The sequence below is a fragment of the Homo sapiens genome, chromosome 10 (assembly GCF_000001405.40).
Source record: "Homo sapiens chromosome 10, GRCh38.p14 Primary Assembly".
NCBI classification, from domain to species: Eukaryota; Metazoa; Chordata; class Mammalia; order Primates; family Hominidae; genus Homo; species Homo sapiens.
Window position 1 is genome coordinate 25,991,686 of NC_000010.11, and position 12,571 is coordinate 26,004,256.

The following is a 12,571-nucleotide window of genomic DNA, read 5'->3' on the forward strand; positions in this document are numbered from 1 at the left end:
TTGTATAAGGTGTAAGGAAGGGATCCAGTTTCAGCTTTCTACATATGACTAGCCAGTTTTCCCAGCACCATTTGTTAAATAGGGAATCCTTTCCCCATTGCTTGTTTTTGTCGGGTTTGTCAAAGATCAGATAGTTGTAGATGTGTGGTATTATTTCTGAGGGCTCTGTTCTGTTCCATTGGTCTATATCTCTGTTTTGGTACCAGTACCATGCTGTTTTGGTTGCTGTACCCTTGTAGTATAGTTTGAAGTCAGGTAGCGTGTTGCCTCCAGCTTTGTTCTTTTGGCTTAGGATTGACTTGGCAATGTGGGCTCTTTTTTGGTTCCATATGAACTTTAAAATAGTTTTTTCCAATTCTGTGAAGAAAGGCATTGGTAGCTTGATGGGGATGGCACTGAATCTGTAAATTACCTTGGGCAGTATGGCCATTTTCACAATATTGATTCTTCCTACCCATGAGCATGGAATGGTCTTCCATTTGTTTGCGTCCTCTTTTGTTTCACTGAGCAGTGGTTTGTAGTTCTCCTTGAAGAGGTCCTTCACATCCCTTGTAAGTTGGATTCCTAGATATTTTATTCTCTTTGAAGCAATTGTGAATGGGAGTTCACTCATGATTTGGCTCTCTGTCTGTGATTGGTGTATAAGAATGCTTGTGATTTTTGCACACTGATTTTGTATCCTGAGCCTTTGCTGAAGTTGCTTATCAACTTAAGGAGATTTTGGGCTGAGACAATGGGGTTTTCTAAATATACAATCATGTCATCTGCAAACAGGGACAATTTGACTTCTTCTTTCCTAATTGAATACCCTTTATTTCTTTCTCTTGCCTGATTGCCCTGGCCAGAACTTCCAACACTATGTTGAATAGGAGTGGTGAGAGAGGGCATCCCTGTCTTGTGCCGGTTTTCAAAGGGAATGCTTCCAGTTTTTGCCCATTCAGTATGATATTGGCTGTGGGTTTGTCATAAATAGCTCATTATTTTGAGATATGTCCCATCAATACCTAATTTATTGAGAGTTTTTAGCATGAAGGGCTGTTGAATTTTGTTGAAGGCCTTTTCTGCATCTATTGAGATAATCATGTGGTTTTTATCTTTGGTTCTGTTTATATGCTGGATTACGTTTATTGGTTTGCATATGTTGAACCAGCCTTGCATCCCAGGGATGAAGCCCACTTGATCATAGTGGATAAGCTTTTTGATGTGCTGCTGGATTCGGTTTGCCAGTATTTTATTGAGGATATTTGCATTGATGTTCATCAGGGATATTGGTCTAAAATTCTCTTTTTTTGTTGCATCTCTGCCAGGCTTTGGTATCAGGATGATGCTGGCCTCATACAATAAGTTAGGGAGGATTCCCTCTTTTTCTATTGATTGGAATAATTTCAGAAGGAATGGTACCAGTTCCTCCTTGTACCTCTGGTAGAATTCGGCTGTGAATCCATTTGGTCCTGGATTTTTTTTTGGTTGGTAAGCTGTTAATTATTGCCTCAATTTCAGAGCCTGTTATTGGTCTATTCAGAGATTCAACTTCTTCCTGGTTTAGACTTGGGAGGGTGTATGTGTCCAGGAATTTATCCATTTAATCTAGATTTTCTAATTTATTTGCGTAGAGGTGTTTATAGTATTCTCTGATGGTAGTTTGTATTTCTGTGGGATTGATGGTGATATCCCCTTCATGATTTTTTATTGCATCTGTTTGATTCTTCTCTCTTTTCTTCTTTAATAGTCTTGCTAGTGGTCTATTGATGATTTTGTTGATTTTTTCAAAAAACCAGCTCCTGGATTCATTGACTTTTTGAAGGGTTTTTTGTGTCTCTATCTCCTTCAGTTCTGCTCTGATCTTAGTTATTTCTTGCCTTCTGCTAGCTTTTGAATGTGTTTGCTCTTGCTTCTCTAGTTCTGTTAATTGTGATGTTAGGGTGTCAATTTTAGATCTTTCCTGCTTTCTCTTGTGGGCATTTAGTGCTATAAATTTCCCTCTACACACTGCTTTAAATGTGTCCCAGAGATTCTGGTATGTTGTGTCTTCATTCTCATTGCTTTCAAAGAACTTCTTTATTTCTGCCTTCATTTCATTATGTACCCAGTTGTCATTCAGGAGCATATTGTTCAGTTTCCATGTAGTTGAGCAGTTTTGAATGAGTTTCTTAATCCTGAGTTCTAGTATGGTTGCACTGTGGTCTGAGAGACAGTTTGTTATTATTTCTGTTCTTTTACATTTGCTGAGGAGTGCTTTACTTCCAACTATGTGGTCAGTTTTGGCATAGGTGCGGTGTGGTTCTGAGAAGAACGTATATTCTGTTGATTTGGGGTAGAGAGTTCTGTAGATGTCTATTAGGTCCTCTTGGTGCAGAGCTGAATTCAATTCCTGGATATCCTTGTTAACTTTCTGTCTCGTTGATCTGTCTAATGTTGACAGTGGGGTGTTAAAGTCTCCCATTATTATTGTGTGGGAGTCTAAGTCTCTTTGTAGGTCTCTAAGGACTTGCTTTATGAATCTGGGTGCTCCTGTATTGGGTGCGTATATATTTAGGATAGTTAGCTCTTCTTGTTGAATTGATCCCTTTACCATTATGTAATGGCCTTCTTTGTCTCTTTTGATCTTTGTTGGTTTAAAGTCTGTTTTATCAGAGACTAGGATTGCAACCCCTGCATTTTTTTGTTTTCCATTTGCTTGGTAGATCTTCCTCTATCCCTTTATTTTGAGCCTACGTGCGTCTCTGCACATGAGATGGGTCTCCTGAATACAGCACACTGATGGGTCTTGACTCTTTATCCAATTTGCCAGTCTGTGTCTTTTAATTGGAGCATTTAGTCCATTTACATTTAAGGTTAATATTGTTATGTGTGAATTTGATCCTGTCATGATGTTAGCTGGTTGTTTGCTCATTAGTTGATGCAGTTTCTTCCTAGCATCGATGGTCTTTACAACTTGGCATGTTTTTGCAGTGGCTGGTACTGGTTGTTCCTTTCCATGTTTAGTGCTTCCTTCAGGAGCTCTTTTAGGGAAGGCCTGGTGGTGACAAAATCTCTCGGCATTTGCTTGTCCGTAAAGGATTTTATTTCTCCTTCACTTATGAAGCTTAATTTGGCTGGATATGAAATTCTGGGTTGAAAATTCTTTTCTTTAAGAATGTTGAATATTGGCCCCCACTCTTTTCTGGCTTGTAGAGTTTCTGCCAGGAGATCCACTGTTAGTCTGATGGGCTTCCCTTTGTGGGTAACCCGATCTTTCTCTCTGGCTGCCCTTAATATTTTTTCCTTCATTTCAACCTTGGTGAATCTGACAATTATGTGTCTTGGAGTTGCTCTTCTCGAGGAGTATCTTTGTGGCGTTCTCTGTATTTCCTGAATTTGAATGTTGTCCTGCCTTGCTTGGTTGGGGAAGTTCTCCTGGATAATATCCTAAAGAGTGTTTTCCAACTTGGTTCCATTGTCCCTGCCACTTTCAGGTACACCAATCAGACGTAGATTTGGTCTTTTCACATAGTCCCATGTTTCTTGGAAGCTTTGTTCATTTCTTTTTATTCTTTTTTCTCTAAACTTTTCGCTTCATTTCATTCATTTGATCTTCAATCGCTGATACCCTTTCTTCCAGTTGATCGAATCAGTTGCTGAAGCTTGTGCATTCATCATGTAGTTCTCGTGCCGTGGTTTTCAGCTCCATCAGGTCCTTTAAGGACTTCTCTGCATTGGTTATTCTAGTTAGCCATTTGTCTAATCTTTTTTCAAGGTTTTTAACTTCTTTGCGATGGATTCGAACTTCCTCCTTTAGCTTGGAGAAGTTTGATCCTCTGTAGCCTTCTTCTCTCAAATCATCAGTCATTCTCCATCCAGCTTTGTTCCATTGCTGGTGAGGAGCTGCGTTCCTTTGGAGGAGGAGAGGTGCTGTGATTTTTAGAATTTTCAGTTTTTCTGTTCTGGTTTTTCCCCATCTTTGTGGTTTTATCTACCTTTGGTCTTTAATGATGGTGACATACAGATGGGGTTTTGGTGTGGATGTCCTTTCTGTTTGTTAGTTTTCCTTTTAACAGTCAGGACCCTCAGCTGCAGGTCTGTTGGAGTTTGCTGGAGGTCCACTCCAGACCCTGTTTGCCTGGGTATCAGCAGCGGAGGCTGCAGAACAGCGAATATTGCTGAACAGCAAATGTTGCTGTCTGATCGTTCCTCTGGAGGTTTTGTCTCAGAGGGGTACCCGGCCCTGTGAGGTGTCAGTCTGCCCCTACTGGGGAGTGCCTCCCAGAAAGGCAACTCGGGGGTCAGGGACCCACTTGAGGAGGCAGTCTGTCCGTTCTCAGATCTTAAACTCCATGCTGGGAGGACCACTACTCTCTTCAAAGCTGTCAGACAGGGACATTTAAGTCTGCAGAAGATTCTGCTACCTTTTGTTTGGCTATGCCCTGCCCCCACAGGTGGAGTCTACAGAGGCAGGCAGGCCTCCTTGAGCTGTGGTGGTCTCCACGCAGTTCCAGCTTCCTGGCCGCTTTGTTCACCTACTCAAGCCTCAGCAATGGCGGGTGCCCCTCCCCATAATTCTTATCCTTGCATTTGAAAATCAAGCTCATGCTTCTCCAAATTATCTTCTAAAAATTAATTCATGTGAAAATTGTGTTCTAGGAATTAATTTTACACAAGTCTAAGTTTATATATTCATTTTATTTATGAAAGCATAAAGATAATGGCATTAATCATTTGAAAGAGAACATTGGAACACTTTTAAAAATGTCTTGGAAGAACTTTTCTAGAAAGAACATAAAATGTCACATGTTTTTAATAGCCATCTTAAAATATTCTTGTTTAGCTCTGCAGTGGAGGATCAGTGACTGACCTTGTGAAAGGATTTCTGAAGAGGGGTGAAAGAATGAGTGAGCCTCTAATTGCCTATATTTTACATGAAGCACTAATGGTAAGGCAATTTAAATTGTATGTGCATTAATTATGAAGCAGTTCCAGTTAAAAAATGTAGATCCTATTTTTAGAAAAATGTCACTAGTGATACTACATTAGTATTTATTGATGGAAGAATATATGCAAAATCTGACATGTTCAGCATAGCTAATTCTTTTTTTCCACTACAAATTTACTTTCATTGGACCAACAGGATCCTGAATTCTGACCTCTTAAGTGTATTTCTGAGACTGTGATAGTGATGAAGGTAGAAAACTAATAATAGGGTTTTTTGGCCATTATCTTAGATAGGTATATGAAATATTTTCTTCCATTGAAACTCACACATTTGTAATACGATATTTGCTAAGAATTAAGGAGCATGCTTTGATTCTGTGAATTTTTATATAATTCAAAGTGGAAATGATGTTCTTTGATGTGACTAACTCAATGTGAAACATTTGAGTGTCTGAATGTTAATTTTATTATGTGTTTCCTATTGATTTTGTACAGGTACATCATCTGAAAATTTTTATTGTTTGATGCTTTTGTTAAGAGTCATTATATATTTCTTATCTTCTAGGGACTTCAACATTTGCATAACAACAAAACTATCCACAGAGATGTGAAAGGCAATAACATTCTATTGACCACGGAAGGTGGAGTGAAACTAGTAGATTTTGGTAAGTTTTGTTTAAAATGCATGAGTTTTAACTCCATAATGAACTAGTATGATATGATTTGATCTTTTTCGAATGGCCTTCCTTTCTAGGTATTGGAAATAGAGGAAAAATCAGTAGTATCTTATTGAGGTAAGAAGTGCAGAGATAATTTGGCAAATGAGAGATTCCCAGAAGAAAGGGTAACTTCTTTCAAGTCAGCTAGTTTGTGCTCATATAACACCAGTGTAGTAACATGCGTAGTTGATCCTCTAAAACAGACAGCATCTCAAATGATTACTGTAAGCCTATAATGACAATCTCATGGTTCCTACTAGTGATTGCTTTGCAAATGGACATATATCCAAATCCAGGATTTTGAGATGTGAGGGGAAATTTTCATTATCATCTGGGAGTATTTCCTCCCTCCTAAGGAGAAACAGGAAAAGATGGTCTCTTTCTTCCTCAGGACCCTTGCATGTCATACAGTGATGCCGGAAACTGCTACAGTTACCTGTGACTAAGATGCTCTGTCCTGAGCAGAAAGCCAGCTCTGAGAAAGGCAGAGCTGAGAGAGGGGAAGAATGGGGGTGTTTGATAACATAATTGAGGCACTAAGTCAATCAACTTTGGAGCCTACCTTATCTCTGGACCTTTTGTTATGTGAAATAATAAATTTCCATATTTACTAAACTTTCTTGTGAGAATGGATGACAGTAATCCTGAAGATGTCTCAGTATCCTTCAGTCGTTATTCTCCTTCCCTTTTGCACTGTAGGTGGGTAAGGTATCCCTCCTTGTGTTTCTGTAACCTGTGTATACTTCCTTGTTTGCATTTATCGTATAGAATTATAATTATACATTTGGTCTTTATAGATAAAGATACTTAGAAATATAGGTGGACAGACAGAGTCTTTGAGAAGTGGGACTGTGTCTTAGTCTATTTCGTAGACCTAATGCTTTGAGTATAGAAGTCCACTGAGTGTTAGTTGAATGAATGAGTCTTCCTTCATTTTGCATTTTGGAAACTAAAGCTCAGCAAGTTAATGGGTTAATTTTTAAAATTTCTTTAATATCTAAGTATTTTGGCTTAGCCCAGGAATGAATTTCAGAGCATCTAGAGAGGAATGGATGAATAGTGTATCCTCAAACATGCATGTGCCTATGCTTTGTTTTTCTCACCTGTGCATTTGAAAACTTCTGAGCAGCAGTGAATTTGTGAATTCCTGATTAATAACTGGGGTGCAGCTAGTCTATGTTTCTGGTTGAATTCAGAGCCTTGAGCAATCTGTCTGGGTTAGTGTACTAATAAGGGCTTCTGCTTGAAATTACAACAAATCATTCTTCACTGCTTCATAGGAGGGGCCATTATTCTCTCCAGAAAATAATTTTGTCTACCCTGTAAGACAGACTCAAATGGAGAACTTGCTATTTAACTTGGGATCTCACAATTCCCTTCCTCTAAAAAATAGATACAGTAAGTATAGCATAGATTGAAAATTGTTAAAACAAGTATCAATAAACAACTTTTTAGCTATTAAAGAAAAATTTGGTAAACCAGAAGCTTTGAGAAATGTAAATTCCTATGATTTCCTCCAAAATAAACTAGATTGAAAACATATACTTAGATAACAAATAAGGCAACCTTTTATATATTTTTGTTTTGTTTTGTTTTGTTTTTTGAGATGGAGTCTCACTCTGTCGCCCAGGCTGGAGTGCAGTGGCACGATCTCGGCTCACTGCAAGCTCTGCCTCCTGGGTTCACACCATTCTCCTGCCTGAGCCTACCTAGTAGCTGGGACTACAGGCGCCCACCACCATGCCTGGCTAATTTTTTGTATTTTTTAATAGAGACGGGGTTTCACCATATTAGCCAGGATGGTCTCGATCTCCTGACCTCATGATCCACCCGTCTCGGCCTCCCAAAGGGCTGGGATTACAGGCGTGAGCCACCGTGCCTGGCCTTTATATGATATCTTTTTAAAACATCATAAATTGGAGTAGTTAACAAAATGAGAGCTTTGGTCTTATATTATTTGATTTATAGATTTTTGGCAATAATTAGAAAAGAGGGCCAGTTGCTTATGAAATGCATTCCTAGTATCTGACACCAAAATATTATTAATTACATATAAGATAGTACTTATAATATTTCTATTCTCCACAGTAAGAGGACATGGATTCAGTTTGCCTATGGTGATTAGTAGGTTGTTGTATGAATTAAAACCTGAGGATGGTAGGGGTGTACATTTATACTGAAAATTCTTGAGGGCAGAAAGAACAAGATGTGGTAAACCACAACCTGCAGAATCAAACTGAAAATCAATGTCCTCATTTTATTTTTAAATCAAATTTTCAGAGAAAGCTACAGCTGGGAGTAAAGGGTTATAGAATCAATTTTATTTGAATCTGTCACTTCATAATTATACTATCAGCTCATTATTGGGTACTGAAGATCTTAGATAGCTGTCAGGCACCTCATACTCAGAATGTCCAAAATGGAGCTGCACCACCTCATCTGTCTAGAAATCTGCTACATATAAAGAGTTTCTTGTCTTAGAAAGTCGCCCACATCTACTCATTGCTCAAAACGAAAATCTTAAGCTCATCCTCGAGTCTTCCCTTGTTTTCACCTCCCACTTATACAACTTAGACACAAAACTTGTCTCTCTGTTAGATATCGCCAAATTCCATCTTTACTGCTCCTGCCCTAGTTCTAGCCCTCATCTCTTGCCTGGGCTCCTGCAGTTATACTTTACTGAACTCCCTGCATCCTAATCTCCTTCCTTTCCTTCCAATCCTTTCTCCACACTGCAGCCAGGGGGATCCTTTCAAAAAACACATCTGATCCTGCGACTACCTTGTTCAGTATCTCCATCCCTTGGGGAAGGCTTTTCCTTATGATCCTCCGTGCTGGAACAGAGTAAGCAACTAATGAGTAATAACTTCTTTATATCTCTTGGTGCTAATCAGGTACCCTCTCTTCCTATTACCTATTAGCCAGGTCCACATCTTTCACTACCTTAAATGTGCCATAATCTTTCCCAGTCAGAGCTCTTACACTTGTAACTTGGAAAATACTTCGAAATTTATTGACGTGCTTTTTCTTTTTTTCCTGCCTGATAACATGATCTTCACCCCAGTGTGCCTGAGGCATCACTCTGTTTGGCAGTGGGAAAATAATGAACATTTATTCTAGAAGAAATGCAAATTGCAAAAAAAATGATTGAGGTAACATTCAGTTTTTAGCATTCAAAAATAGGAATTTATAGCAAGGCTATCTCCTGAGGAAAGCCTATCTCCTGAGGAAAATCTGTCTAAATTGCTTACCTTCTCTTTAGCATATGGAGAGAAGTTTTCAGGGATACACCACAGGGTTTTTTTTTATAAGACGGGGTCATTGTGGAAAGATCAAACAGGGTGAAGCAGGGCAGTGAGATGAGCTTTTTTTTTTTTGAAACAGAGTTTCCCTCTGTCACCCAGGCTGGAGTGTAGGAGATGAGCTTTTAAAAAGATAATGAGGGCAGGAAGGAGCTCTTACCTTCTGTATTAGCCCATTCTCACACTGCTATAAAGAACTACCTGAGACTGGGTAACTTATAAAGAAAAGAGATTTGATTGACTCACAGTTCCACAGGCTGTGCATGAGGCATGGCTGGGGAGGCTTCAGGAAACTTACAATCATGGCAGGAGGGCAAAGGCAAAGCTGGCACATCTTACTATGGTGGCTGGAGAGAGAGAGTGATGGGGGAAGGGCTACACACTTTTAAACAAGCACATCTCGTGAGAACTCACTATCACGAGAACAGCAAGGGGAAATCTGCCCCCATGAACCAATCACCTCCCACCAGGTCCCTCCCCCAAATTACAATTTGATATGACATTTGGGTGGGGACACAGAACCAAATGATGTCACCCTCACACTTCCTACCACTCTCACTCGCCATTCCTGAGGAAGCCACTCAGAATCTGCGGCATTCCTGTCTGCGGTGAGCCACATCATTGCTAACCTGGAGGGGCAGAATGATCAGATAGTGGAAAGACTCAAGTTAGCTTTTCCAAACCCTTAGCTTTAGTTTTCCAGAAACCTGAAAGTAATTGATAATCTGGCTGGAAAGTTTCTAGAAGGGGTTTTTCAGAAGATAAGGGGGGTGGGTGTACAGTGAGGCACTGGGCAGATCCCCTGGGCCAGCTCTGCTGTGTCTAAATGGGAGTCAGCCAGAACTCAGAGTGTTCTCAGCTCTAACTGGAGCAAACAGACTTAATCTGCAGGAGGAGCCACAGGAAGTGCTCTCTGCATGAGAGGAACAGACCACAAGCTCCCTGGAGGCAGACTACGGCCTGGGAGCCCAGTAGGGCACCTAGCGGCTAGGCAGACAAAAGCATATGGCCCCTTAAACTAGAAAGCCACCATGCCCAAGGACCCTCTCTTTTCTCCTGACACAAGGTCTTAAAAGAAGGAGGAGGGGCAGGCATGGTGGTTCATGCCTATAATCCCAGCACTTTGAAAGGATGAGGCAGGAGGATTACTTGAGCCCAGGAGTTAGAGGCCAGACTGGGCAATATAGCAAGACCCTGTCTCTACAAAAACTTATTTTAAAAAATTAGTCAAGCTTGGTCACATGTACCTGTAACCCCAGCTATTCAGGAGGCTGAGGTGGGAGGATTGCCTGGGCCCAGGAGTTCGAGGCTGCAGTGAGCTGTGATTGCACCACTGCATTCTAGCCTGGGTGGCAGAGTGAGACCCTTTCTGAGGAGGGATGCCATCTGAGAAATGGAGAAAACACTTTTATCCAAGAGAGACTGAACCCTATCTAAAAGGACTTATGGATTTATTGAATTTAACTGAGCTTTATTTTTCTTCCAGCCAGTGGGCATGAGCTTGGGGAAAAGCCATAATAGTTATAGTAAAAACGAAGAAATTGCAATTTCTCTGTGTATCTAAGAGTAGATTCTGAATTTTGACCAGTTACACACATGATACTTTCCCTGCATAGAAACCTTCCCTCTCCTCTGCACTGTTATATATAAAGTTTCAGTACCACAAAAGAAATAGCACTCGAATATAATTCAAATATAAAATTTTCTTTTTAATTCTCAGCAAGGCAAGTTACTTCTATAGAAGGATGCACCCCTAGAGATGGAGCAATGGTGAGCGCACACCTGCACAAGGGAGGGGAAGGGGTTCTTATCACTGATGCACGTGGCCCCTGCTGCTGTGTCGTTCCCCTATTGGCTAGGGTTAGACCGCACAGGCTAAACTAATTCTGATTGGCTAAATTAAAGAGAGTGATGGGGTAAGTGGTTTGGCAGGAAAAATGGTTATGACCGAGCAGGTAATCGGAATAAGTCAGGGTGGACCAGGTAATCGGAATGAGTCAGGGTGGACCAGGTAATCGGAATGAGTCAGGGTGGACCAGGTAATCGGAATGAGTCAGGGTGGAGCAGGTGATTGAAATGAGTCAGGGTGGAGGAGGTAATTGAAAAAGGTTGCTTTATGAGGAAGTTAAGTTTAAAAGTAGAAGGCAAAGAATTGAACATACTGACATATTGATTCTTTGAAAAGAAATTTAGAATTCATATCTAACAGCACCCAGCTAACTTCTGCTTGCCCAAGTTTTCCCCAACGCCCTGTACTTCATTTAGCCAACCAGTTGTCAGACTTCACTGTAATCATATTTTATTTGAGTACTTTCTCTGCTAAGCTGTAGATTTCTCTGGTCTATCACTTTGTCACTTTGTCCCTAGAACCAGGTACAGTGCTAACATTTTGAAAGTACTTAATGAATGAATGAAGGAGGGGGAAGACTTGCCATATAATTATGTGACAATGAGAAAGTCACACAGAATCTGCAAGGGCATCAACCTGCACATCTACAAGTGTGAAAAAGTCTCTGCCTCCTAAGATTGGTTGCTGTGAAGAATAAATGGGATGCCAGAGGCAAACTACTTAGTATAATTGCTGATACTTCATAATTCAGAAAATCTAAACTGTTACCATTATTATGAGATAATATTCCTACTTAGCCTATAGCTCAGTGCTATACACATAGTAGGTGCTTAATAAATAGTTGCTAAATAATGAAAATCTGAGTTTCCAAAAGAGGTGCCTCTTTATGTTTCCAAAAAAGAAAACAGTAACCCTCTGCTAGAATAAATTCAGTATTACTTTAAATATGAAGCTACCTAATTACACTAAAAGTAAGATTCAGTTTGCTAATGCTCATTATGAATACGGCCTTTAAGAAAAACTTTTAGTTTTTTATTAAGTGGGGTATACTTTTACAAAAAATCACCAGATACCTCAGAGAGCAAAATGACAAGTGAGGTTATAAATATTATTAATGAAATGTATTAGCCATTACTGGTATATGATCAGTCAATCAATAATATGACTTCCCAGGAGATAGATCCCTTCAGGCAAGTGAACTAATGTCTGAAAAAAAACAATCTTTATCTTGAATAGAAAATGAAAGAGACTAAATTTAAAGGACAGCCCTTAGTTCTTATTTCTGCGGATTTCTCTCTGGGGAACTTCATTTCTAATAGGATACTTAACATTTCAATACAAAAGTACAGAATGTACTTTTTGTGATTTATTTAGACCTCATTCTTATGACAGAATATTTTATGGTTTTAAATCTCTTATTACCCACATGCCCCATTTTAGACCAAATCCCCAATGCATAATGTAGGTCAAAGAGAAGCTGTGATTTGTTTATTAATAACCCACTTTTTAGCACCAAGTGAGGCAGTACACCCGAACTTAAAAATTATGGAGTGCCCTTCAATCCTTCCTTTCTTTATGAATAATTTAGAACAAAAGCCATTGGGTGGGACAAGCAAGCATGGGAGTCCAGGTGCAGCTCAGTAGGCAGTTTGGAGTCTGAGAGGGGTAAGGAAGGTATCTGCTGGCAGGGAGTGTTGGGTCCCCAAGTGGGATGAGAAGCACATCCATGTAGGGTGATGGGGATGATCCTGTATGGGGACGAACTTCCTGTAGATGAGAAAGGTATCTGCATA

General features: G+C 39.9%; 1 protein-coding gene across 21 annotated transcripts in view, besides 2 other annotated features; it reads left to right on the forward strand.

The window, feature by feature from the left end:
- MYO3A (myosin IIIA) overlaps positions 1-12,571 on the forward strand; it is a 278,304-nt gene that overhangs the window by 57,457 nt on the left and 208,276 nt on the right. For all 21 annotated transcript variants that reach the window (XR_930494.1, XM_011519498.3, XM_011519500.3 and 18 more), the window contains 2 exons: positions 4,805-4,909; positions 5,474-5,573. Coding sequence is in view for 20 of the 21 variants with exons in the window: in XM_011519498.3 (XP_011517800.1) it covers positions 4,805-4,909; positions 5,474-5,573 (205 nt within the window). In the remaining variant the exon portion in view is untranslated. The remainder of the gene's footprint in view (positions 1-4,804; positions 4,910-5,473; positions 5,574-12,571) is intronic.
- Positions 8,770-9,969: an enhancer, noted in NCBI's record as "BRD4-independent group 4 enhancer chr10:26289384-26290583 (GRCh37/hg19 assembly coordinates)". NCBI's record gives its function as "activates an origin of replication core promoter dependent on BRD2, P300/CBP, MED14 and CDK7 cofactors, and independent of BRD4, by STARR-seq in HCT116 cells {active_cell/tissue: HCT116}" and the evidence as "EXISTENCE:reporter gene assay evidence [ECO:0000049][PMID:35650434]".
- Positions 10,287-11,486: an enhancer, noted in NCBI's record as "BRD4-independent group 4 enhancer chr10:26290901-26292100 (GRCh37/hg19 assembly coordinates)". NCBI's record gives its function as "activates an origin of replication core promoter dependent on BRD2, P300/CBP, MED14 and CDK7 cofactors, and independent of BRD4, by STARR-seq in HCT116 cells {active_cell/tissue: HCT116}" and the evidence as "EXISTENCE:reporter gene assay evidence [ECO:0000049][PMID:35650434]".